General features: G+C 38.3%; 2 protein-coding genes across 8 annotated transcripts in view, besides 2 other annotated features; one reads left to right on the top strand and one right to left on the bottom strand.

Moving 5' to 3' along the window:
- On the top strand, positions 56-26,826 carry NIPSNAP3B (nipsnap homolog 3B). 7 transcript variants are annotated; one of them, XR_007061325.1, is made up of 7 exons: positions 56-227; positions 2,252-2,462; positions 4,790-4,948; positions 6,776-6,925; positions 8,749-8,835; positions 8,924-9,103; positions 23,544-26,826. XR_007061325.1 is itself a non-coding variant. In NM_018376.4 (6 exons), exons 1-6 carry the CDS (start codon positions 168-170, stop codon positions 8,998-9,000), a joined length of 744 nt encoding a protein of 247 aa, NP_060846.2. In that variant the 5' UTR covers positions 56-167; the 3' UTR covers positions 9,001-13,691. The 7 variants fall into 7 exon arrangements, 3 of the variants coding, with proteins under 3 accessions (NP_060846.2, XP_047279517.1, XP_011517141.1); XR_001746344.2 differs by lacking the exon at positions 23,544-26,826 and adding an exon at positions 13,055-13,691; NR_130760.2 differs by lacking the exons at positions 6,776-6,925; positions 23,544-26,826 and adding an exon at positions 13,055-13,691.
- Positions 182-371: a silencer, noted in NCBI's record as "silent region_20144". NCBI's record gives its function as "represses an Ori minimal core promoter by ATAC-STARR-seq in GM12878 lymphoblastoid cells {active_cell/tissue: GM12878}" and the evidence as "EXISTENCE:reporter gene assay evidence [ECO:0000049][PMID:35858748]".
- Positions 11,171-11,420: an enhancer, noted in NCBI's record as "active region_28730". NCBI's record gives its function as "activates an Ori minimal core promoter by ATAC-STARR-seq in GM12878 lymphoblastoid cells {active_cell/tissue: GM12878}" and the evidence as "EXISTENCE:reporter gene assay evidence [ECO:0000049][PMID:35858748]".
- ABCA1 (ATP binding cassette subfamily A member 1) overlaps positions 16,933-26,961 on the bottom strand; it is a 147,150-nt gene continuing 137,121 nt past the window's right edge. Inside the window, exons 44-50 of the mRNA NM_005502.4 lie at positions 26,849-26,955; positions 24,353-24,494; positions 23,847-23,981; positions 22,800-22,903; positions 22,225-22,317; positions 21,323-21,566; positions 16,933-20,382 (exon numbers count right to left, since the gene is read on the bottom strand). Of these exons, the coding sequence (NP_005493.2) occupies positions 20,242-20,382; positions 21,323-21,566; positions 22,225-22,317; positions 22,800-22,903; positions 23,847-23,981; positions 24,353-24,494; positions 26,849-26,955 (966 nt within the window). The 3' untranslated portion in view covers positions 16,933-20,241. The remainder of the gene's footprint in view (positions 20,383-21,322; positions 21,567-22,224; positions 22,318-22,799; positions 22,904-23,846; positions 23,982-24,352; positions 24,495-26,848; positions 26,956-26,961) is intronic.

The raw sequence follows: 26,961 nt of genomic DNA on the forward strand, positions 1-26,961 counted from the left end.
CGGGACCTGTCGCGCCTCCCGCGCCGGGGTGGAGCTGACCCCGCCGAGTCCCGCCCCTGCCTGAGTTCGCCAGTGGTCCAGGAGCCGCTTTTTTCCACTCGGGAAGACTTCAGAGAAGTCTCACAAAGGACTCGGCTGGCTGCTTTTCTCAGTGCCGAAGCCGCGCCATGCTCGTTCTCAGAAGCGGCCTGACCAAGGCGCTTGCCTCACGGACGCTCGCGCCTCAGGTACTGGCCGCGGGGGCGCGCCCGAGCCCTGGCCGGAGGGGAGGGGAGGGGCGGGGGGTATTTCTGAAGCGTGCGAGCCACGCTCAGGCGCTCCCAGACCTGGGGCCCCGCGCCGCCGCCGAAGTTCTAACGCGGTCTCTGGAGCCGTCTGGCGCGCAAGGAGGAGGCTACAGGCCGGGGTCGTCTCGCTGGCAGTCGCTGTCAGAGGGGTTTTCTAACTGGATGCCAGTGTTTTTGTGATTTTTGTTTTTGTTTTTGAGACGGAGTCTCGCTCTGTCGCCCAGGCTGGAGTGCAGTGGCGTAGTCTCGGCTCAGTGCAACCTCCGCCTCCCGGGTTCAAGCGATTCTCCTGCCTCATCCTCCGGAGTAGGTGGAATTACAGGCGCCAGCCACCACGCCCGGCTAATTTTTTTTGTGTTTACTATTTAGTAGAGTCGGGGGTTTCACCATGTTGGTCAGGCTGGTCTCGAACTCCTGACCTCGTGATCCGCCCACCTTGGCCTCCCAAAGTGCTGGATTGCAGGCATGAGCCACTGTGCCCAGCCTGATGCCAGCTGTTTCTAGCCTAAATGCCACAACTCCCGGGACACCCCCGTGGCGCCAGCTGTTGCGTTTTTTTAGGATAACATCTCCAGATACAAATCTCCGAAAATCAACTTTAAAAGCAGTTATTAGAAATACCTCATTGGCCCATTTTCCGAGATAATAATATTTTTAAACTGTAGATACTAAGCAGTTTTTTATTTTCAGAATTTGATTAAACTGACCCAAAAAGAATGGCCATCAAAAGAAAGGATAGTTGCAGGTATTTTTTGGTATGAAGAAGGGTTTTCTAAGAAAACTAAGACACTTGGGCAATAAGGGCATAACTCATACTGGAGATGAATGAACTCAAGATAGACAATTATAATTAAGACGTTATGCACACAAACTACATAGACATTTGCATGTTGTAACCAAAAATATGTCAGTGAAAGATGCCTACTGAAACTGTTGCGATAGATTATTCTGGGTAGTGAGCCTCAGGAAATTGTCACATGCTAACCATGCCTAAATGAATGGATTTGTAAACTAGAATGCCACGGGAGTGGTCTGTGTATACACGTGTGTTTACATAAATATTTGCATGTACGTACATACAGACAGACTGGATAATTTCTGACAGGGCATTTGCTACTGAACATTAAGCTCACTCAGGCTCAGAGGGCCAGATTAGGACAGAAAATTTACCCATTGGGCATATGACTATTACAAAGGGTGGTTCTTAAAGGATAGTTCCATAAACTTGGTATAATTGAGTGCACTAAATGTACATACTTCTTGATATTGCATCTGTAATTAGAAACAATGATGGAGACAATTCTCATTTGTTGAGTTTTTTTCCTTTTCAGCCTTTATGCAGTATACACCCATAGTACAATGCAATTGGATAAGTTATAGCTTCCTTTTATATTAGTTACATTCCAGTCCTGTTTTTGACCGGTAGTCTTCATCAGTAGATTCAGGAAATACTTTGACCTGAATAGCCCTTCCTGTTTTTTTAGGAACCTTTTAAAAACAAGAGTTTTTTGTTAGTAAACGTATTTTTGGGCCTGCCAAAAGGCATGTGTACTTAATAAATTTTTTTCAATGTGTGGAACTAATACATATGGTATTGAGTAAGATGGAATATTGGCTAAACAGGGGAAAACCCTTTGTAAATTAAAGAGACTAAGTCTTAAATGTAGTTCTTCGGTAAAGGAGTATCATTATGATCCCACAGCCTTCTTGTGAGCAAATTCTCGTGAAAAAATGGCTAGAGGTAGACCCCTGCTAGGAAACAGTTGCTATATATTCATCAGAATTAAGAGTAGTTATCTTTATTGACATCTCTATGTAAACAAGTGTATATGGAGAATTGACAACAAAAGTAAACAATGGATAATGAGTCTATGTGTGTTCCTTGTACCAGACTCAGATTTGGTTGTAACCAAATCTGTAATTGTACCTTCCCAAGATATTTACATTTGTCTTACCTCCTTCAGGTGTGTTCATCTTTTGCTACGGGCCCTAGACAATACGATGGAACGTTCTATGAATTTCGTACTTATTACCTTAAACCTTCAAATATGAATGCGTTCATGGAAAATCTTAAGAAAAACATTCATCTTCGGACCTCTTACTCTGAATTGGTTGGATTCTGGAGTGTAGAATTTGGAGGCAGAACGAATAAAGTGTTTCATATTTGGAAGTATGGTAAAGAGTCATCCAGTTTTAGTATTCAGTATAGATTTTCATTCTGTTAAATGTAACATAAGACTTAGTTCTTGGATCTATATTACCATAGATACATACAGGTTAAGTAAGACTTTTTAAAAGCAATACCAAAAAAATAAATTTAGCAGATCTTCTTCCCAGTGGTACACCTCTAACCACCCCTTGCTTGAACTCTTATGTTATCATAAATGAGAAAACATGCAGTCTCATATATCAAACCATAAAATTGTGAATTAGACTTTAATCCTCAGAAAAATGTTAGAATCGTTTGCTATAAAGATAGCTCATGAAAAATTTAAAGCAGTAATTGTAAATGTTCAAGTGGGTTAAGATCACCGTTGGGCCTGCCAAAAGACATGTATATTTAATAAAAATGTTTTAAATGTGTAACTAATGTATATGGTATTGACGAAGATGGAATACTGGCTAAATAAGGGAGAAAGCTTTGTAAATTTATGAGACTCCTAATTGCAGTTCTTGGGTAAAGGAGTGTCATTAGGATAAGATAATTTTTTTTTTCTTATTATTGTTACAGCTAGGGCTGGATATCAGCATTTTTGCAGAAATAATTCACCCATTTGGGAGCTTTATAAAAATGGAGGTTTTTAAAGGATGATAGTTAACTTTTAAGCGTCACCCAACTCTGAGATTTAATAATTCTGTTATGTTTAGAGACCACTTCTTTTTTCATTTCTGTACCCCAGAGTTTCAAGGAATTCTTTCATACTACCCTAGGGAGGTAAGGAAAAGGAATGAGAGACAGTCCTTCCCATATTGAAGCTGACCTACCCCTGGTTTAGTAGAGGAAAGAGAACAAGTAACAAGAATCCCCAGAATGTTTGTTACTTCCATGTCTGTTCTTAACAGTCCACATCAGGACTTGAGGATACCTAAAGAACTTTTAATAATTTCATTTACTGTTTAGTGATCAGTGTCCAAAGTTAATAGTCATAAAGTAATTTAATATGAAAAGTGTTCATTCTATGCTTGACGTAACTCTTTAGTTTTTCCCTGTTATAATAAAACAGACCCTATTAAAACATAATTTATGCTTTAGATAAACCACAAGTTGAAACATGTCCCATTGAAAAAACTGCTAATAAAGTGTTTATAATTCATTTATATGCTTTAGATAAACCACATATATAATCCACTTATGTGCGTTAGGTGAGCCACAAGTTTAATTGTGTCCCATTAAACTGCTCGTAAAGTCTTTACAATTCACTTGTAAGATAGGTGTTATTCCTTATCCTCAGCATAAATCATATAATTCATTTACTATTAGTCTTAGGAGGCCCTAAAAGTAAATATACTATAGTTGTCCCTCTGTATTTGCAGGAGGTTGCAGGAGGTTGGTACCAGGAACCCCTGTAGATACCAGATTCAGCTCAAGTCCATTATATGAAACAGCATACTGTTTCCATCAAACCCACACACATCCTTCCATATACTTTAAAGCATCTCTAGATTATTTTTAATCCCTAATACAATATAGATACTATGTAAGTAGTTGTTATACTATATTATTTCACTTGTATTTTTAAAAAATATTTTTAATCTGCAGTTGGTTGAATCCACAGATGCAGAACCTGTGGAGAGGGAGGGCTGACTATACTAGGCCCATATCTTGGTAAATGTATATACCTGTTTGGGTAACTTAGAAAGAAGAGAAATAAGTTGTAGAGAAAAAGAATTACTGACAAGAAATAAAAGAATCAGCACTATTTCATTGGGAGCTGTTGTTCAAAAAAGAGGCTTAAAAAGTGCATCTTAATTTCATTTATGTTAACTTTGATTCAAAGTGTACCTTGACCTAATCACCCACCACCAAGGAAAAATAGTCTTTCTCTATAAATCAAATGCTTCCATTGATAAGAATCGTTAACATATACTGAGTACTAACTAAGGTGCCAAACACCATTCTAAGCTCTTTTCATGTACTAATTCATTTAATCCTCACAACAACACTGGAGGTAGATGTTATACTATTTTCTTCACAGAATAAGAAACTGAGGCACAGAAAGATTGAATAACGAACCTAATTCACACAACTTCCTAAGAAAGTCTTAGAGCCTATAAAGCCCATTCTATGTCAATTAAGTTAGTTTTTTACATTTCAACTCCCCTTTTAGACCATGAGTAACTTGAGAGCAGTTGTCACATATATTTATGTTGGCATCTCCAGCGACATAATAACATGGGGTTCCCATATGGCCTTGCACGTTTGCTGAACTGAGTAAAATTCAAGTAAAAATATGGGCGATTTTAAATAAAAAAACATTTTCTTAACTATTTTCCTCCCATAGATAATTTTGCTCATCGAGCTGAAGTTCGGAAAGCCTTAGCCAACTGTAAGGAATGGCAAGAACAATCTATCATTCCAAATTTGGCTCGCATTGATAAACAAGAGACGGAAATTACTTACCTGATACCATGGTCCAAATTAGAAAAGCCTCCAAAAGAAGGTGAGTTCTTCCCTCTTAGACTATGAGTTTTAATGAGTAAAATACTAAAGACCTAAAGTTATAAAGAGTAAAGTTCTATAGGAAAAAAATATATAATTCTTTGTTTTATATAATAATATATGATGAGTCTGGAGATAAAAATGAATTAGAGACTGGGCGCGGTGGCTCACGCCTATAATCTCAGCACTTTGGAAGGCCGAGGCGGGCGAATCACTTGAGGTCAAGAATTCAAGATCCGCCTGGTCAACGTAGTGAAGCCCCATCTCTACCAAAAATACAAAAATTAGCTGGGTGTGGTGGTGCATGCCTGTAGTCCCAGCTACTAGGGAGGCTGAGGCAGGGGAATGGCGTGAACCCAGAAGGCGGAGCTTCCAGTGAGCCGAGATCTCGCCACTGCACTCCAGCCTGGGCGACAGAGCGAGACTCCGTCTCAAAAAAAAAAAAAAAAAAGAGAATTAGAGTTCTAGAGCTCTTTGCTTATCCTTAAAACATTGAGCTTATCCTTAAACATTGCTTATCCTTAAAACAAAAAATGAAGTATTTTTCCATATTGAAATCTAACGGATGCCTAACAAAAGTTGACATGGTCAATACAGGTGAAAAAGTGGGGCTTGGGAGCTAGGAAAACAGGTGTAGGTAGATGAGTCGTAGTTCATGAAATTTTGTCACAGTTTTAAAATGTATAAACTTTTAAATATAAAAGTATTTTTTCCACAAAGTCAGCTAATCTTAAATCATTAAGTACATCTTTGCTTGTAAACTGACTGTTTTGGGGGAATGAATTAACTTACACTGCTAAGCTACATTATTGTAGTTTAACTTTTGTGTCTTCCTCTTTCTTGTTTCTCAGTTTGAAAAGATTTGTCTTCTTCCTGATTTCACTTCTTGCTCACTAAAGGAAATAATTACCTCTATCTAATTTTAAACAGAGGTCAGATTCGAAAAGCATAAACTAATTTAAATTTCATTTTATGTCTCCCATAAACTCAACTTTGTATTTTATTTTAGATTATAAGAGATTTGAAAAGTCTTGTTTGGATTCTAATGTACTTAAAACTCCCCTTAACTTTCAGCACTAAGTAAAACAGTTGACTTCTCAGTGTCAAGTCTTATTAATAGTTCCCTTCCTCTATGTTGTTCATAATTCTTTAGTAACTTTGTATTTCTTTCCTTTTTCTTGTCCAATCTACCTTGTCCTCTAGTTTCTTTCTCTCCACCCATCTTATACTTCTGGCCAGAAGGTAGAATGGTTTTTAAGCATTTACCTGGATATTTAGGAAGAATAAAACCATCTCCTTGAGGGTTTTCTTTTTTTCCTTAAAGGCTCAGACATGACTTTGGGTCAACTAGAAATAGAATCCTACCGGAGAAAATTATACAAAGGAAAAAGTTATTTCCTCTCAAAATTGAAAAGGAGAAGGAAATGTAGGATATCAGAAAGTACTTCTCTTATGCATTTCTTTTTTAAAAAGTGTAGACAGGCAGCTTGAAAATTCTGCTTCATTATACATTCTCAGTATCTGTTTTCCTGACAAATTTTATAGATTAAAAATATTTCAGAGTGTAGTTTATATATAGCTTCCAGTCCTTTTTCTTTATTTTCTTTATGATTAATTTTAACAACTGACCCTTAAACATGGACAAAGACTTTCTAAACATAAAAGCAAAGAAAAATAATGCAGAGAATCAATAAATGTGACTGCATATGTATGTATACATGGATTATCCTCTAACTTCATTGGTTAGCCTTCTAATGAAATCAGGAAAACCTGGTTAGAAATTGTTTGAATGTCTTCTGTGAAATAATTATTTTTCTCCCTATTCTAGGAGTCTATGAACTAGCTGTTTTTCAGATGAAACCTGGTGGGCCAGCTCTGTGGGGTGATGCATTTGAAAGAGCAATTAATGCCCATGTCAATTTAGGCTACACAAAAGTAGTTGGTGTTTTCCACACAGAATATGGAGAACTCAACAGAGGTACAGTTGTCCATTTGTTCTATGAAGTTGCCATGTGTATTAGATCAGTTCGTCTCTCTTTTTCATTTTGGTACCTGTTTTAATTTTTATCTCCAAATTTTTAGAGTTTGTTGTTTATAGGATTGAAAAAATCTATAAGCATCTTATTTTACATCTTATTTTTTTAGAATGTTAATACTTTATGGAGCCTTTTTCAAATGCTGAACTGGTGTTTGTTTTTTAACTTTTATTTTAGGTTCACGGGGTACATGTGAAGATTTGTTACTTAGGTAAACCCATGTCATGGGGGTTTGTTGTACAGATTATTTAATCACTCAGGTATTAAGCCCAGTACCCAATTGTTATCTTTTCTAATCCTCTCCCTCCTCCCATCTTCCATTCTCAAGTAGACCCCAGTGTCTGTTGTTTCCTTCTTTGTGTTCATAAATTCTCATCATTTAGCTCCCGTTTATAAGTGAGAACATGTGGTATCTGGTTTTCTTTTCCTCTGTTGGTTTGCTGAGGATAATAGCCTCTAGCTACATCCATGTTCCCACAAAAGTTATAATCTGGTTCTTTTTTATGGCTGCATGGTATTCCATGGTGTGTATGTACCACATTTTCTTTATCCAATCTGTTGTTGGTGGGCATATAGGTTTTCATGAAAAGATTCCAAGTTTTTGCTATTGTGAATAGTGCTGCAGTGAACATTCACGTGCACATGTCTTTATGGTAAAATGATTTATATTTCTCTGGGTATATATCCAGTAATGGGATTGTTGGGTCGAATGGCAGTTCTGCTTTTAGCTCTTTGAGGAATCACCATACTGCTTTCCATAATGGTTGAACTAATTTACACTCCCACCAACAGGGTGTAAGTGTTCCCTTTTTTTCACAACCTCACCAGCATCTGTTATTTTTTGACTTTTTAGTAACAGGCATTCTGACTGGTGTGAGATGGTATCTAATTGTGGTTTATATTTGCATTCTCTAATGATCAGTGATATTGAGCATTTTCTCATAAGTTTGTTGGTCTCATATATGTCTTCTTTAGAAAAGTGACTATTCATGCCCTTTACCTACTTTTTAATGGGATTCTTTTTTTCTCTTATAAACTTGTTTAAGTTCCTTATAGAGGCTGGATATTAGGCCTTTGTCAGATGCGTAGTTTGCAAAAATTTTCTCCCATTCTGGAGGTTGTCTGTTTACTCTGTTGACAGTTTTTTTTTTGTTTTTTTTTTTGCTGTGCAGAAGCTCTTAAGTGTAATTAGATACCATTTGTCAATTTTTGTTTTTATCATGATTGTTTTTGGTGTCTTTGTCATTCAAAATTAATATCATTGACATAGAAAATTCTCACATTGTTGCAGCATTTTAAAAAATCTGTTACTAAGTATAATATACACTAAGACCCTAATTTGGTTTACTAATTTTTTTTAAAGGAAACACACCATATGTTGATAAAGGTTTATCTAGGCAGTTAAGATTATACTAACTTTTATTTTTTCTTTGTATCACCTAAATTTTCTACAGTAAACAATTTTTTATAATCTGCTTTTTTTAAAAAATAAAACATAGTAGGAAGTCATTAAACTCGGGTCTAGTCTTAATTGTGCCTTAAGCTGTGTTTCTTTGCATTCTCTCTTCAGCCTTATGTTTCCAGTTTAACTTATAAATTTATCTTCCAAATTTCTGATCCCTCTGAAATCTTATAACTAACATATTTAGTTTTACCTTTTGATTTTGATTTAAAGAATAAGACAACATTTCTGATTCACTTTTTCAATATTTCTTATTTGCTATTGCCATATATTTCAGAAACTACTTGTGGTTTATTTCTGCAGTTCATGTTCTTTGGTGGAATGAGAGTGCAGATAGTCGTGCAGCTGGGAGACATAAGTCCCATGAGGATCCCAGAGTTGTGGCGGCTGGTAAGCTGTTTCACTAAGCACGAATTATTTTTAGAACAAATGTGATTCAACCAATAACTGTATGCCTTCTTATGAAATGTTTTTCCAGTTCGGGAAAGTGTCAACTACCTAGTTTCTCAGCAGAATATGCTTCTGATTCCTGCATCATTTTCACCATTGAAATAGTTTTCTACTGAAATACAAAACATTTCATTAACTGCTCTAAGATGTGTCTGCTAATGGTGCTTAAATTCTCCCAAGAGGTTCTCGCTTTTATTTGAAGGAGGTGGTAAGTTAATTAGTTAATTTGCTGTGCTTCTTGCATTTTTGAAAGTTACATATTCTCCACTGCTTTAAGAAATAATTCAGTTCACTTTCACCTTGGCATTTCAGTATCTGTTACACATTAGAAGTAGTTGTCACTATTTCATCATCTTGGTTTTTCATTTGTTTTAGAATACCTCTTCTGTATTTTGATAACTCATTGCTTTATAGCATTTTCTTTTACTCAAATAAGGATTTTACATTTCCTTGCCTGACAGTATTTTTGAATTATTTATATAAAATATCTATCTTTTCATCATGTCTATAGTTCCTGAGATTTTAAAAAAATTTGCTTAGTAAAGGTTATTTTGTGATATAAAATGGGATTTATAAAAATATTAGATTGTTTATTTCTTTACTGTGGAAAAGTACAATGTCATCTGTATTAATTATTGCTTTTACATTCATTGATTATTAGTCATTCTAACTTGGAAAATAATGCAATTGGGTCACAGTGTTAAAAATCTAGAAAAGACTTGTTGGTTTATATGCTGAAATTGTTCATTTATAATTAATTTTACTAATTTCTACTTAGTTTGGATCACTAACAGAGATCTTGGGACATTTATTTGTTTTAAAGAAATATTTATGGTTATGGAAACGCTTGCCCTAATAAAAATCCTGCATATTCATTGTTTTTTTAAATTCACATTTTATACTTATATGATCTCTAAAGCTCTTGCTATGTTGCTATAAGACAGTAATATAGTGATAATTTACCAACTTTATTGAAAATGTTGTTACATCAATAAAATAGCATGCTGGGAACCTGAGAAGGAAGGTTTCTTTAGTACTGCCACAGATGTCCTGGAGTTTTCCTTGAAACATCTTTCATTTCCATTTTACTTGATGCCTCTACCTACTAAAACTAGATTTGGTACTTCCGATAGTGTATATTTACAGCTATATTATATTTACATTTTTACAGACTATCTTCTGATAATCTGTATTTACAGCTATGTTATTTTATATTTTTAAAATCTTACAGCTATAAAATAGTAAATTGTGAATTAGCTGTCCAAGGGCAATTTGGAAAACAAACTGTACAGTTTCCTCTCATTTATCAGGCTCTAAGCGATCTGCAGTTTATCTGGGCTATTATGCAATGTGAGATATTATTTATGAGAGGCAGGCAGTGGCAGCTTAAACAGACATACCTCCTCAGCATTCTTTTCCATGCAGAGTTCAAAGAGGCCTAAGACATCTCACATTTATGTGAAATAGTTGAGGCACAAGTATGTGGTTAACTACACATAAATTACCAATAAAATTAAAAGTTAACTAAAATACTACAGAAGACATTTAATATTTTGCTTCAGACTGTTATAGTACCTTAGGGTTATGAACATCAATTACCTTTGAGCCTTACTATATTTAAAGGGAAGGGGAAGCTGACATTTTTATCTTTTTTAATGGGTACACTCTACGTTACCTTAAAGGCTTCCCCGGTTTAAGCAAAAATAGAATTATGTGGTTTAAATCATATACCTTATTCTTCATACTTAGCTCCAAGTAGATTATGACTTTTCCTAAAACTTAACATGACAGAGATTTGCCTTCCAGGGGGTCTAATTTGAAGAGGAAAGTAATTTAAATGTATAGGTTTATATAATAGCATTGTATTTTTCTCTATTTTATTCATTCTTTCATTCTCTTCGATGACTCCCAGCACCTGCGCGTCCATCTTCATTCTTAGCCAATGACCTTTCCTTTTACTTAACAGAGAAAATAACAATCAGAAGAGTCTTCATAAGTTCCCACCCCGTCTGCCCGCTTTCTACAGCCAACCCCACATGCCCTGCCTTCTCTCCTTTCACTGTGGATGAACCGCCCGTGCCCCAAGCAAAGACAAACCCTCCACTTGAACACTCACTTGCTGAAGGATGTGGCTTAGGCAGTTTTCCTGTCTCCTGAAGCCACAGTATTCCCCTTCAACTGGATTCTTCTCCTCAGCATATAAATATACTTTTTTTTCCTATCTTTAAAAAAAAAAAAGAGTAAAATCACCCCATTTTTTTCCTTTACAATATGACTCAAAAGAGTAGTTCATACTTCCTGCCTCCATTTTCTTCCCTCACATTATCTCTTAAACATTCTCTGATCACGCCAGCCAAATTGCTCTTGTCAACTCATTTCCCAGTTCTCATTTCACTTGACTTGTTAGCAGTTGACCTCTCCTTTCTTCTGGGAAGTTTCTTCGTTTCTCCGAAACACTCACTGCACAAGCCTTCATATCTCCTAGTCTCCATCTTGTCTCTTTGACCTCTGATGTAAGGACTGAGTCCTTGGACCACTTCTCTTTTCTATTTATACTTACTCCCTGCGTCATCACCCCCAGTCTTGTGGCTTCAAATGCTATCTGTGTGTGGATAGCTCCTCCAGTCCACACCTCTTTTCTGAATCTTTTTTCAAATTCACACATGTGAATTTGAATTCCAGGCTCATCACATCCAGGTGTGTTCCCCACACCTCCACCTGAATGTCTATTAGAAATCTCACACCCCTCTTGTCCAAAACTGAGCTCTTGATCTTTAACCAGAAACTTTATCTCAGCTATTGGCAACTCCAGGTTTCTGTTTTGCTCAGGCCACAGACTTCAGAGTCATTCTCACACTGCCTTTTCTCTCATACACCATTATGTACCTGTCAGCAGGTCCCAAATATCTAGAATTTGATTGCTTCACATCCCTATAGCAACTCTCCTGGTTCAAGCCCATCATCATCTGGATTTTTGGGAAGTGGTCTTAACTGGTGTGCTGCCCTTCCCCTCTGCTCTCAACCCTATTTTCAACATAGCAGTCAGAATAATCTAAAATATAAACCAGATCATATCACTCCTCTGCTCAACACCCCCTCCCAATACCTTCATGTCATCCTCAGAGTTATTGTCCAAGCCTCTAACTGTGGTCTACAAGTCTTTACATGATCTGTCCTGTTACATTTTCCACTCTCGCTCCAGACCTGACCTAAGAGGCTTTTCTCTGAACTTGCTAAACATGCTCTTACCTGAGGGTCCATTCCCACTGCCTCTGCCTGGAATGCTCTTCCCCAGACATGCATCTGCGTGGATCATTTCCATGCCTCCTCAGGTCTTTGCCCTCATGAAGCCTTCCCTGACAACCCTATTTAAGATTGTAATCCCCTCCCACAGTGGCCCCTATCTGCTAGAGACTGAATGTTTTTGTCCCCCCAAAATTCCTATGTTGAAGCCTTAATCTCAACATAGGAGGTTTGGCCTTTGTGAGTTAGTTTTAGATGAGGTCATGTGGGTAATAGAATTAGTGCATTTATAAGGGCGTGAAGAGCCCTCACTGTGAGGAAACCAGAATGTAAGCCTTCACCAGAACTTCTTCATGCTGGCACCCTGGTCTTAGACTTCCCAGCCACTAGATCTGTGAGAAAGAAATGTTTGTTGTTTAAGCCACCCTGTCTATGGTACTCTTGTTACAGCAACCTGAACTAAGACACTATCCCTCTCCCCTGCTTTCTTTTTCTGTTATCACCATAATTAATGTTTTACTTATATATGATTTGTTAATGTATGTCTCTTCCCACTAGAAACCGAATTCTATGACAGCAAGGGTTTTTGTTTTCATTATTGTCATATTACCTGTGCCTGGCATGTGATAAGCCCTAAGTACTTGTTGACTGAATTAACATATGAGATCTGTGAGTCTGAAAAAAGAAGTACATCATTCCTTCACATGTCATTTTGAGCCACTGTTAACAGATTACATAACTGTTATTGGAAGTGCCTCACTACTCCATTTGGAAAGTATTCCTGGAATACACGATGAATGACTCAGTAGAAGTTCTGGCTATGGGGGAGTGCCATCAATAAATAAAAATAATACCATTGTCTGTTGGTTATAAGTTGCTGTCACAGACTATGAAGGTATTTGAATTGTATTTTCAGGAAGAGAAACAGATATGCAACCAATCTGATTTGGTTCCACACCCTGCCACAGAAGTCCCAAAGGAGAAGCAAATGCCACTTGTAGACTCAAACTCTGGACTTCATTCTCAGCACCATCTCTTAACCTACTGAGTAAATCCTATGAACCTGACTAGGGTGGCAACTGAAGTTGTAGTACTTTCTGTCTTCAAAGGAGGGTGAACCTGGAGTATGTTGGAAGAAGTGTTAGGTTCATTAGAGACACCTCTTTCATAACTGCTGTCACCTAGAATGTCTATTCTCTAAGCACCTTCTTGAAAGAAGCACATTCCCCCAGGAGGAGGAAATGGTTTGTTTTCTTTAGTGACAGTTGGCCCAGGATCCTAAGGTAAAGGAGTATGGGCACTAGACAAAATGAGTTTTATAATAGTCGATTGGAAGGAATGGAAGTTTTTGAATCACAGGCTTCTGCCTTGAAAGGGCAAGTCCGTGGTGGTCATGAACCACCCAGAGTGTGTACAAGGCTCCTGCCAGAAGAAATGCCTGTAGGATTAAAAGCAAAACAGCAGAATCAAAAAGGAAGGGCACGATGATGCCCAGGTGCAGCCTATATTATTAACAGACAAGGAAAGAATCCAAATAAAAGTTCTGTAAACCAGCTGTTGTCCTGTTTTCTGTTTCCCTTCAAAGCAAAAATATAGATTTGCATATATTTGCAGTCTCCCCTTCCTTGCCTCTCAGTCTTCCCTGAAAATCTATTCCAGTTAGGTCTGCATCCTTGTCATGCTGAAATGACTCTTAGGAAGGTCACCAAGGACCTCTGTCTTAACAAATTCAATAGCCATTCCTGCCTTTACTCATTTACATTCCTTACTCATCTTCTCAGCAATGTTGGACATAATTGACAACTTCTGCCTTCCTGAAACAATAATTCTCTGAGCTTCAACATATGGCATTATACTCTTCAGATTTTACTCTCTCTCACTGGCCAGTCCCTCTCAATTTCCCTGGCTAGCTTCTCTTCTAAATGTTATAGGATCTCAGGCTCAAGAATGTTCCCTATCTTCATTCTCTCTAGGTAATCTCATTCAGTCCCGAGGCTTAAATATATACGTACCAATAACTTGCACACTTTTTTTTTTAGATGGAGTTTCGCTCTTGTTGCCCAGGCTGGAGTGCAATGGTGCGATCTCAGCTCACTGAAACCTCCGCCTCCCAGGTGCAAGCGATTCTCTTGTCTCAGCCTCCCAAGTAGCTTGGATTACAGGCATGCACCACCATGCCCAGCTAATTTTTTTGTATTTATTAGAGATGGGGTTTCACCATGTTAGGCTGGTCGCAAACGCCTGACCTCAAGTGATCCACCCGTCTCGGCCTCCCAAAGTGCTGTGATTATAGGCGTGCACCACCACGCCCAGCCAACTTGCACACATTTATCTTATTTTCCATCATTGCCCCTGAGCTTCAGACTGAAATACCCACTGCATTTTTAACACAACCATCTACCTAGTTCAGGTCACAAACTAGAAGTCACCTTGCTAGCTCTCTTTCCCTCAGCCCTTACATGCAGTCTGTCAGCAAGTCCTGCTGGATCTATCTCCAAAGTGGATACTGAACATTACCATAGCTCCCTATCTGTTGCTACCATCTTAGTTCAATCCACCATTATCTATTAGTCTTCCTACTGTCCTTTCTTCCCATAGTAGCCAGTGTTCTTTCTGAAACAGTAGGTCACACCACTACTGTTTAAAACTCTCCAGTGGCTCCTTGTTGCACTAACAATAAAATCCAAATACCTTAAAAAGGCTGGCGAGATCCTGTGAGATGTGGTCCCTGCTATCTCTCCAGTTCCACCCCCTGCCACTCTTGTCCTTGCTAACTCAGTACAAGAGACATTAGTACAGATAGCTCTTTTACCACCTCAGCTTGCCAAGCTTTTTCCCACTGGGGCTTTTGCAACACTTATTCTTTCTTCCGGGAATATCCTTCGCACCCACCTTGAAAGGCTGCTCCTGCTCTTTTTATTCGATTCTGAGCATGTCACTCCTCAGAAAAGGCCATCTCTGACTTCTCTCCATTGTTATCCAATTACCATGTCTTATTTTCTTCTTAGCACCCATTGCTGTCAAAATACATTAGATGTGTTTGTCCACACATCATCTTTCACCACTGAAATATAAATTCATTAGAGCAGGAATTCTATTTTCTTCTACATTGTACCCCCTAGTACCTAGAGAAGTATCTGGCATACAGTAAAGTTCAATAAATATTTGTTAAATTAATGTATATTGATGCTGATGTGATTTTACAAGGTCAATTTTAACTGATACCTAACTTCAACAAAAAGAACCCTCTGCCACTTGACTGAACCTGTACCTTTGGACGAGTTTCTTATCCACTGAGCTGTAATTTACTCATATGTAAAATGGTACTTTTTACCTCATAGGGCAGGTGTTGAGAATTAAATGAAGTGCATGACAACACAGTAAACACTTGAAAACTGAAGCTAAGTGGGTTTTTTTTTTTTTTTTACTTAATGTAAACATTACCATTACAAAGTGCCAAGTTTTTTGAATCTGGAAAAGTTCTTTTGGGCTTTTCTACAGATAGAAGAATGTTTTAGTCAAGGCTCATGGGTAGGGCCAGGCAAGGTGGCTCATGCCTGTAATCCCAGCACTTTGGGAGCCCAAGGCAGAAGGATCACCTTAGGTCAGGAGTTTGAGACCAGCCTGGCCAACGTATAGTGAAACCCCATCTCTACTAAAAATACAAAAATTAGCTGGTTGTGGTGGCGCATGCCTGTAGTACCAGCTACTTGGGAAGCTGAGGAGAATCGCTTGAACCCGGGAGGCGGAGGTTGCAGTGAGCCAAGATCATGCCGCTGCACTCCAGCCTGGACGACAGAGCGAGATTCTGTTTCTCAAAAACAAAAACAAAAAGCAAAAACAAAACCTCATGGGTAACATATTTTCATCTAAATTACCTGCCTTTTTATTTTTCAATAAAGTTTTTTCCTCTCCCTCGTCATTGTTCACGAAGAAACAGTGTTCTATGATTTCATTAAAGTCACTATAACATGAACTTCAAGATAGGAGGATGAAGTTGTGATGCTGATGCTCAGGGGGCATCTTGGCTCACTTGAAGCCAAGATTTTTCTGCACACAAAGTTCAGATCTGTGCCACAGGAAAAGGACTGCTCACGACACTGTCACAGCCATTCCTGAGGTCACAAATAGAGACAGCCTCTTGTACTTCCTCAAAAGGACTGTTTGACAGGGATTCTTCAAGTAGCAAAATAAGCAGACATCTCTTTCTGAAACTGATTCTTAATGAGCTATGAAAAATACATTTACATTTATCAGCACTGCTCATATGTTGTCTGCACAGCACTTATTACAGGAAAAAAGGAAGGAATCACCGATATTAGTATCATTTCTGTTTCCATATCTACTTCGCCTTCCTGCTCACCATTGCCACCACCCCCAGCACCTTCCCAGTATAACTGCTACATTGTGTCCTTATATTTTTGGTTGAATAAACAAAAGGACACTGAAGGCTGCCTTTGTAGCTTCCCCTATACCAAGTGAACATTTATTAAATAAGCTCAGCTACAGAGCATTTTCAGAAATCTCAGTGCAGCTTCATAATCATTAAGCAGAATATTTATCTAAAAACCTCTAACACTTAATACCAGTTACTCAGTATCTTAACCAACATGAAAATACAAAACAACCTTTTATTTTCAAGTAGTCCCCTCAGTTCTCTTTTATGATTAAGGGAACATTTGAATCTTTTCTAAAGTTTTTCCTTTTGATCCAAATCACTTCCCCTCTACTTTTCTAATGGCTTTATAACCCTTCAACAGTAGGTGGTGCCACAAATGCACAAAAGTAAATTTCTGTAGACCAACAGAACTGTCACAGCTTTATTTTGTGACTCATTATATTACAACATAGAAATATGCATTTTAATACTTCATATAAAGTTATTGACATACAAAATTTTTTTTCTTTTTTCCTTTTAATGAAAATGATTTAACTTAGAAATCTGTTGTGAAACTTTTGTCTAGTTTTGCAATTCTCAGATATTCCAGTGCAAAAATAGATCCCATTACAGACAGCGTAAAGTGCTTGGAATGAGGGCCAATGATGAACAAAGAGCACAAAAACAGCTTCATCTTAGGGTATAAGAAGGGATAATAGCATACCTAAATCCTTATGGAAATAGAAACATTCTAAGGGGGATGCAACAATTTTGAAAAGAATTAGAGCAATATTTCTACAGTATTACATTATTACTAGTAGATAATAACAAGGGTACAAATTAATGTCTCAATATCAAAGTGGTTCAGTATTACATGACACATGGCTCTTTGGAAAATATTTTACCTGATATATACAACCACAAGAAGAAAACACAGACAAATGGCTTTAGTCAATGATTACTATACAGTGAATGAATGATGTGCAACATTTAATAGTCACAAAGCATTTGCTTTCAGTACAGATAATGAAATACAGTAGTGTGAGGTTTGGTTGTTTTTTAACAATGAATTGTGCTGGGCATTTATGTATAGAGGGCTTATTATTTTCTTCTGTATTTCTCATATTCACAGTTGTTAATAAGTTTTCTGAGGTGTCCCAAAGATGCAAAAGCAGAAATTTTTGAACACGTATTTTGAGAATTTCTGAAACTCACATAGGTACATTCCACAGGGAATATACAGAAATTTTGCTTGATTGAGTATAGAGTTGGTAAAAATTTCTACCACAATTAGGTTTACACAGGAAAATGTAAAAAATTACTATTTTAAAAGGTAACACAGTATTAATGAAGATGTATAACTATAGATTGTTTCTAGCTTCAGAAGAGGTCCTTTCAATCTGTATTAAAATGTTGTGTTTTCTTCAAAATAGTTCACAGTGCCTTTTGATTTTTTAAAATATGGCCTTGAAATCAGAGGAACCGAAGTAAGGAGTTGCTCATAGATTTACTATAATGAAGAATTAGAATACGATTTTAGTAAAATGAGGAAACCATAACTTTGATTTTGAAAAATATTAAATGAGGAGAAATTATTCTATAAATTCTGTATTTTTGAAGATACTGTAAAATGCAACGATGCCATATCACTAGTTATTGGAAATATGCCTTCATTACTTATATTTAAAATCAATATTGACTTTAACTTCTAAAACAATCATTTTTTTCTTTTTCAGCAGTGGGTTATATAATATTCTGTAAATTTAAAAAATATAGAAAGATTAATTTGAAATCTGAAGTCTTACACCTTTAGCGTTAATATTCAAATTCTGGAAAAAGTGGAAGAAGTTAGTAATGATATTGAAAGATCACTTGAACTTCCCCAAACAATAGTTCTCTCATATTTTTCTTTTCTCTCAAGACAGTTAACAGTAAGTATTAGTGAAACAGTATTTTTACAAATGTTTACTGACTAGAAAAATAAGACTGGGTTAGAAAACTCTGAAAAATGCTCCATATGGAAGTATTTGTTGTTTTTATATTTTTCTTGACTAGTGATTGAAGAGATGAAAAATTTGAGACTGTCAGATTTAATGGGGTATCCAATATCTGCAAAGCCAATTATTTGAAGGTACTAAATGCCATAAACACAAGTTGTGTTTTTCAGCAAGTTTTCAAGCTAGCTGTTTTCCCTGTTGAAGAATTCATTGTTTAGACTTGTGACCCTTATACTTTCTTGGCTTTTGCATTGTTGCAATTAAAAAAAAAAAAAAAAAGGCTGCCCAGTATTGTTACAGTGGGCTCCTACAACCACAAGACAACCTATATTTGTAAACCAGTGAGCTGAATAACATGGCACAGGAAGTGTACTGAGACTTAATATCTCTCTAGTCTTATACGTACGTACATACTCTTTCAGCTACAGCATACACTCAAAAAATATTTGATTGATGAAGTGAGATTAAGAGTATCCTAAATGATCTGAAAGAAACTCAAATATAATGTCATGAGATCCTGACCATCACATTGCTTTCTAGGCACTAGTCATGACTGATATGCAAACTTACATAAGAAAATAAAAATAGTGGGGCAGTGGCCATACTCCTCTATACCACAGGGTTCTACAAAGAGGCCATTCTAAGGATTCAGAAGTCACTGATAGAACTTAAAATTCCAAATAACATTAAAAAGTACAAACATTTTTGTCAAAATACAACTCCATCTTTTCATTTTCTAGATTAATTCAAAAAGCCAGAAATAATACACTTGTGTCAGATAAACATCTTGAGATGCAGTGTACCATGTTAGCAGACAGTCAGGACAAATGGGCACAGGCTTCCCTAGGTTTGAACGCACAATCTCTTTAATCCCATGCCCTGGCTTCAGCAGCTTGCAGCCCCAGCAGTTTGGCTGTTGATTCTTTGCCTCTTACCAGGATCTAAGTATATTTAAGAGTCTCATAAGGATGACCCTGTAGACCCATGGCTCGAAGCATAGGACAATATAACAATGGAACCAAGTTTCCCGTGCCTGGAGACACCCACATTTTTGTTGCATGTTACTGCCACCAGAACAGCTTATCAGAGGGAATCAAAGCAGGATGTTAGCCACGCATGGCACCATTCTGTCAACTGATATTCAATGTTGATAGACTCTGAGCAGAGCAGCTTTCACAAAAGTGAGCATGACACACCATGGTGCTTCAAACTTTCTGAAAAACTTGGCACTAATAACTCTGGCACACTCATTGCCAGCAATGGATGTGTCACCGGGAAACCAGTCTCCTGGGCATGGCATGGCTTAGTGAATGAGGATGTGCATTACCTTTTGATTTTGATCAATAATCGCTGGCCATGATTACTTGATGAATTATTGTTGCAACCCCAATGAGAATACACAGGAACAAAAAAAAAAAAAAAAGTGTGAGTTCAAACCCATATGTCCATTGGGTTCCATAATAGAGTTTCACATAGGTATAGGTAAAAAACTAAATTCAAGTCTTTCACTTGAGAGCCATACAAGACATAGGCTACAAAGGCACTGCCCCTGTAATGGAATTTTGTTTTCATTGCATTGAATTGCATTGCATTGAATAGTATCAGTACAGTATCCAGTTTACTTCTTCCCACATCAACTTCTGGCTCTTTTCTCCACAACACTTCACATGGTGCAAAGGAAAGTCTAGTTCCTCTTTACTTTCAGCCACCCCGTATGAACAGGATTCTTCATACATAGCTTTCTTTCACTTTCTCATCCTGTAGAAAAGATGTGAGAACTGCAACGTCCACTACTGTCTGGTTTTTGTGTAATGAGAGGTCTTTTAAGTGGTCATCATCACTTTGGTCCTTGGCAAAGTTCACAAATACCTGTTAAAAGATTAAGATGGACCTTTATAAATACCACTCAACTTGCTCATTCTTTATTCTAGTTCTATTTTTCCAGATGTTGAAATTAGGTCAAGTAGGAGCATACAGAATTACATAAATGGATTAACTAGAAAACTGTGTGTGAAGGAGGGAAGAATACTTGAAAAAAGCAATAACAACTTAAAAATAGACTTTTTTTCCCCCCTTGAAATGGGGTCTTGCTCTGTCCCCAGGCTGGAGTGCAGTGGCGAGACCTTGGCTCACTGTAACCTCCACCTCCTGGGTTCGAGCAATTCTCCTGCCTCAGCCTCGCAAGTAGCTGGGACTACAAGTGCGCACCACCATGCCCAGCTAATTTTTGTATTTTTAGTAGAGACGGGGTTTCACCCTGTTGGCCAGGATTATCTGGATCTCCTGACCTCATGATCTGCCTGCTCCTCAGCCTCCCAAAGTGCTGGGATTACAGGCATGAGCCACCACGCCCGGCCAAAAACTGACTTTCTATATCGCCCCCCACCCCTACATCACCAACTGCTCAGTCATCCATTTACTTTGGCACATACGGTCTTGATTAAAGGGAAGAGGGAAGAAAATATTTACTGAGTACTTCTTAAGTGTCAGGACCTATTTGGTACTTTTTTATCTAATTTAAATAGGATTAGGCACCAAGTAAAATGCCTGGCCCATGGTAGGTGCTCACTAAATGGTAGTTTTTATGGTTATTATTACAGTAAATTCTCACAATAATCCTATAGAGTACATAGGCATCATCTCCCTTTTCAGGTTCAGAGAGGTTTAGTAAAAAGCATAGCTAGGAATAGTAGATCAGGAATTCAAGCACCAATTCAAGATACAAACTGCTCTTGGACCTATGGGCGGGAGTGTCGGGGCAGGAATCCACACCCTGAGAAGTAAATCTGTTTTGACACTCAAAGCTTACTTGGTCAAGTGTTGTCTGAGAAACAGAGTAGTCTTCTATGTGGAGTCGCTTTTTGCTCTGGGAGAGGATGCTGAATATCCTGGCCAGAGAAGATAATGAAGATGGAAGCTGGTATTGTAGCATGTTCCGGTGTTTCTCTTTTAGAACACTTCCAGGAAATGCAAGTCCAAAGAAATCCTGGACAGGCTTCAGGTCCGGGTTGGACCCTGCTATTCGTACAACTATTGTATAACCATCTCCAAACCTGAAAGCAGGAAAAAATACCCAAATGGAGGATCTCCAGAAAACTATTTAAAAGAATACTGAACCCTGGGAACCCAACTTGTGCCATGAAAAAGGGCGGCCCCTGGCAGGCCCAGAAATAAGTTTCTGAGAGAAGGAACCAGTTATCATTTACTAAATACTTATTTTATGTGAAGCACCATGCCATGTGCTGTAAATACATGATCTCCTTTAATCCTCACCTGGACCCATGAAGTCTGACAGATGTTACAGAGAAACTGAGGCCCAGGGAGTTAGTCACTTGCCCATGGCTCAGAGCTCATAATTGGTAGGGCCAGGATGCAAACCCATTTGTGTTTGACTCCAAAGCTTGCGCTCTCACCAGTACTGGCACATGTAAATTTTTTTCATTTCATCTATAGCACAAAGCTAGGAGGTAGATCTTCCAGGGAAACTAACTCTTACAGTAGTTAAGTCACTTGCCCAAGAGTCACAGAACCAGTAAATGGTAAAGACAGAATTTGAATGCAGTTCGGACTTCAAAGCCCTCATTCTTTCCACTATACTGTTTTGCTCAGTTTTATTTCCCTTTATGTTAGAGGCACCATTTATATACTCACAAAAGAATAAATATCAAGCCTTCTCACTAGGCACTATCCCAAAGAAATTATCTTTATTACCTATTTTTTAGATGCTGGACACTGCCAAGGCACCTGAACCTTCCATTGACCATGATTGCCATCCTAGTGCAAAGAGCTTCACATTCTTCCATACTGCGGTAAAACAGAAAGAGGTTTTAGTTTTAGAGAGATTCTCTGTAACCATGAGAACATCACCATGACTTCCAGCATTCCAGCTTCCTAGGGAATTGTATTCTGTTACAAGTACATGTGGATATAGGGATGATGCTGTTCAGTGTAGTGGTGTTTACAATTGTGAACAAGTTGGAAATAATCCAAATGTCTACAAAAGGGGGAATAGTTAAATAAGAGTATATCCTAATGGAATACTATCCAGCTATAAGAAATGACACCTAAATGCACTGACTTGGAATAATGTTTACAATATATTAAGTGAAAAAGAGCAGTATTTATACTGGGCTTGCATTTTTGTAAGAATATGCATATATAATTTCAGGTAATAATTGTTTTACTCTTTGCTTTTCTGTATTTTCTAATTTTTACAAAATGATCGCATATTCTACTTGGAAAGTTAAAACATCCCACAGTGAGGAACCCAAGACTTTACTACGGACCTATGAGATGTAAGCACTACTGATCTCCCCTCCTTGACAACACTTAGGGCACAATTCCACAAGAACCGCCGGGCTTTGGGATCCATGCCTGTGGTGGGTTCATCCTGTAATTAGAATAAAATAAGTCTTATTTGCTGGGGGGAAAAAAAATCAAAGATAAATTTGTTTTTAAATGCAGAAGCATCTTTGAAACAGCTTAAATTTTAACTTGCCATTCTAGTTATTTCTTGATGAATCAAAGAATTAGAGTAACTTTCAAATTCATTTGTAAACAAGGTCATTATTATAAATGTCTTATTGATGCAGGAAACTCAAATATTCTGAGTACTTTTTTATGTAATTAAATTTCTCCAAATAAATAGGGAAGGAAAAAGGCCATTTAGTTGTAATTATCTTTTCATGACTGATAAGTATATACAAAACAACTTTTTGTCTGAAACCTCTATTGAAGTCAGTATAAGATTGGGGTGAAATTCCTTTTTTTTTTTAATTCCAGCTCACTCAGATTACCCTAGTATATTGCAACTGTTAGCCTTACAGAAACAAATTCCAGACCGAGGTGGAATACATAAAAGCCTCAAAGGCTTCTTCCCGTAATAACATCAATGCTCTTATCTACAGAAGAAAAAAGGTCAAGGGCCACTTCCCAGTCTGATCTGTTTTTCATCTATCCGTGTGTAAGGAACTATGACCTAGTTGCTACCTTGGGGATTTTAAAGCTGTGTCCACACTCTTCATTTTCAGGGAATGAACACAAAGATGATTAGAAAGAATGTTCCAGAGAAAGATCAAATCACATATCCAGCCTCAATCACGCTAAGAAACAAAGTGCTTGGAGTGCCTCTATTTGGGAGCATCTGCAGGCATGGTACAGCCACCCCAGTGTGTGCCAAGGGAGAAGCTTCCCTCTGCTTTTCCAAGGTTGCTCTGCTGTCCCTGGGGGAAGACAAGCCAATCATACAACAGCCCTGGACATATAGGACTTTTGAACAGTCATGTTTTCCACTCAGGCCAGAACAACAGTTTTCCATCCACAGTTATACTCACCAGAAACACCACAGGAGGCCCGCCGATCAAAGCCATGGCTGTAGAGAGCTTGCGTTTGTTGCCTCCACTATAGTTACCAGCATATTTTTCTCCATACTTCACGAGGCCCAGTTTCCGAATCGCCCACTCACCAACCTACAGTGATAAAAAGCACCTTGACTTTGGTCTGGCTTGGGAATTTTATCATGCTGTCCTACACATACATGTATGAAAGTTCTTTCACTGAGTAGGACTAGATTCTATAATCATAACCTGACAACTGGTGAGGAGCCAAAGCAGGGAGAAGGGACTCGTGTGGTGGGAGCAGCACTCCCTCTCTGCCCACCCAGCCCTGCCCCACCACCGTTACAGGTTTCCACCCTGAAAGCAGATACAAAGAACCAGCATTTTGTGCTGCTGCATTCATGAGGAAAAACAGCCTGAAGTCAATGCGTGTGGAAAAGCCATAAGGTATATATTGTCAGGATGCCAAAGGAGACAGGCTGGCTTTCAGGTGCCCACAGTACCTTGCCAACTTCTTTCTCTGGGACTCCTCTCAAAAGGGCAAAGAACTCCACGTGTTCTCTCCCAGTCAACAGCTCTGTGATGGCATCAAACTGAGGGCAGTAGCCCATGTTCTGATGTACTTCATGGATGTTTGATAAGATACTGCAAAGGACAAGAAAACTACTTAGATTTTAAGCAGGTAGAGATACTCTGGTTAGACAATCTGGCCTAATGTTCCTGTAAAGTATGCTTCTCCATTACAAAGATACCAATACATCTGCTGCTACTTGAAAGCACAGCCTTTCTGCCCCCAGGATGCTAGCTCTTCCTGGCAGGCAGGGTTCCTGCCTCTACCCTCCCCAGTCCTTGCACCTCCCTGGCTCTCTGAACACTTCAGTCTGCAGGTGCAGTCCCATTTCAGAATTTCTGAGGTCATGCCAACCACTGCACATTCTTTACCAACAATCTCAGTCACACTACCCCAGGGCTTTAACGCTAAGGCCCCATCCTAGACTTCACTCATATGCACCATTCACATGCACCAAATGAGAAGGCCCAGAAATTTTGAGTGTGAGCAACACAGAACCTAGAGACACAATTTATGTGGTGGTGGGGTGGCTTTGGGGTTCTATGAAGCCAGTCAAGTGAAGAATCACATGTGAGAGAAGTTCAGTGTTCACGTTCCAGACTGATGACTGCACCTCAGCCACAGCGGCATTGCCATGAACTTGGCCTTCTGGCAGCATTCATTCCTCTCTGTGTATCTAATTAGCACCCCCAGGGTCAGCCTTTTTCAGAATTAGGATTGAGGCACACGTGGACACCGTGCCAGGCCCTCACAGCTATACCAACCAAATCAGTTCTTACAACCAGTCCCTGTGACAAACCTTACTATGGGCTGGTTATTACTGCCACTGCTATATGCGTCAGGAGCTTGGTACTAGGAGCAAGCCTAGGAAAGCAGTTGTGCAGCGCTAGGCCTGCTATTCCCAGAATGTCTGTTCTCTTAGGATTCCTTTACATTGCTACTGCAAAAATGTAAGAGACAGGAGAGGAGATCATGAATACATTAATTTCCTTGCTCTTTTCAATTTTATTGGCTATCCCCCTGTCCAGTGTGTTCAAATTGTGAGTCATTGTTCATTAGTGGTTTGGGAAATAAATTTAGTGGGTCATGACCAGCACTTTTTTAATGACGCAGTATAAGGTAGAATAAGAAATAGCAGAGTGCACTACAATTAGTAACAGTAGGTACTGCTTTATGAAACTTTAGGTTATACATGTGTCTACATGTCTGTGTGTACATACTAGGTTGAGATATAAAATGTATTTCCCACAACGGTCATGGTCAAAAAACTCTGAAAGCCACTGCCTTGTACTATCTCTCCACATAATAAGTCCAGAGAAGCCGGGCGCAGTGGCTCATGCCTGTAATCCCAGAACTTTGGGAGGCTGAGGCAGGTGGATCACCTGAGGTCAGGAGCTCGAGACCAGTCTGGCCAACATGGTGAAACCCCATCTCTACTGAAAATACAAAAAAATTAGGCAGGCATTGTGGCGGGCACCTGTAATCTCAGCTACTCAGGAGGCTGAGGCAGGAGAATCGCTTGAACCTGGGAGGCGGAGGTTGCAGTGAGCCAAGGTCGCGCCATTGCTCTCCAGCCTGGGCAGTAAGAGTGAAACTCCGTCTCAAAAAAAAAAAAGCCCAGAGAAGCCCCACATATTTAAAGTACTTAGAGTAACATTATCTAAGAAGCCTATAAAATGTAGCTGTATTCCCAAAGATCAGATTGCTTTGTGACCTGTGCAGTCTCAGAAAATGGCCTAACGGTGGCTCAGTCAATTTGTATGCTCTTTAGAGAGGGCAATTTACTTTGTAGGAATTGTTCCTGAGGAAATAATAAAAGATGTATACAGGGACATATTTACATAGTGAAAAATGGAAACTAATGTGTCCAACATTTATAAGGAATTTATTAAATAAATTATAGGTACATGTACATAGGGGGATTTTATGTAGCAATGTAAAATTCCACATCTTAGGAAATGTAACCCACTGGGAAATATTCATAATACACTCATTAACAATAAAAACTAATTTTAAATTCTACATACAGTATGATCTCAATTGTATGGCACATTTATATGTGTATATAAGACAGATGTGGGGTGATGGAAAAGTTCTAAAACTGGATTGTGGTGATGGTTGCAAAACTCTCAATTTACCAAAAATCACTAAATTATACTCTTAAAAAACAAGCAAATTATATTGTATGTAAATTATACCTGAATAAAGCTGTTAAAAGAAGAGAATGAGACTGAAAGGAAATGTAAATTGTGATTATCTCTAGATATTGAAATCATGGATGATTTTATGTGCTTCTTTACCCTTTACTATATTTCAACATTTTTATGAACTCTAAAAATACCACTGTAATCAAAAATAACAACCTATTTCTTTAAATAAATTAAAAACAAAGTCTTTGCAGCAAAATACAAGCCACTTCTTTTCTCACCTATTTTTGTTAAGGAAAGCATCTCCTCTGGTAACAGTGGTATCTCCTGTTAACATCTTGAAAGTTGATGATTTTCCAGCCCCATTAACTCCCAGGAGCCCAAAGCACTGAAA

The sequence above is a fragment of the Homo sapiens genome, chromosome 9, assembly GCF_000001405.40.
Source record: "Homo sapiens chromosome 9, GRCh38.p14 Primary Assembly".
In the NCBI taxonomy this organism is placed as follows: Eukaryota; Metazoa; Chordata; class Mammalia; order Primates; family Hominidae; genus Homo; species Homo sapiens.

Bases quoted from the DNA above. Each gene is read 5' to 3' on its own strand.
- NIPSNAP3B (NM_018376.4), top strand. From the start codon at position 168: ATGCTCGTTCTCAGAAGCGGCCTGACCAAGGCGCTTGCCTCACGGACG. The intron at 228-2,251 runs GTACTGGCCGCG...TACCTCCTTCAG, and splicing joins CACGGACGCTCGCGCCTCAG to GTGTGTTCATCTTTTGCTAC. The intron at 4,949-6,775 runs GTGAGTTCTTCC...TCCCTATTCTAG, and splicing joins AGAAAAGCCTCCAAAAGAAG to GAGTCTATGAACTAGCTGTT.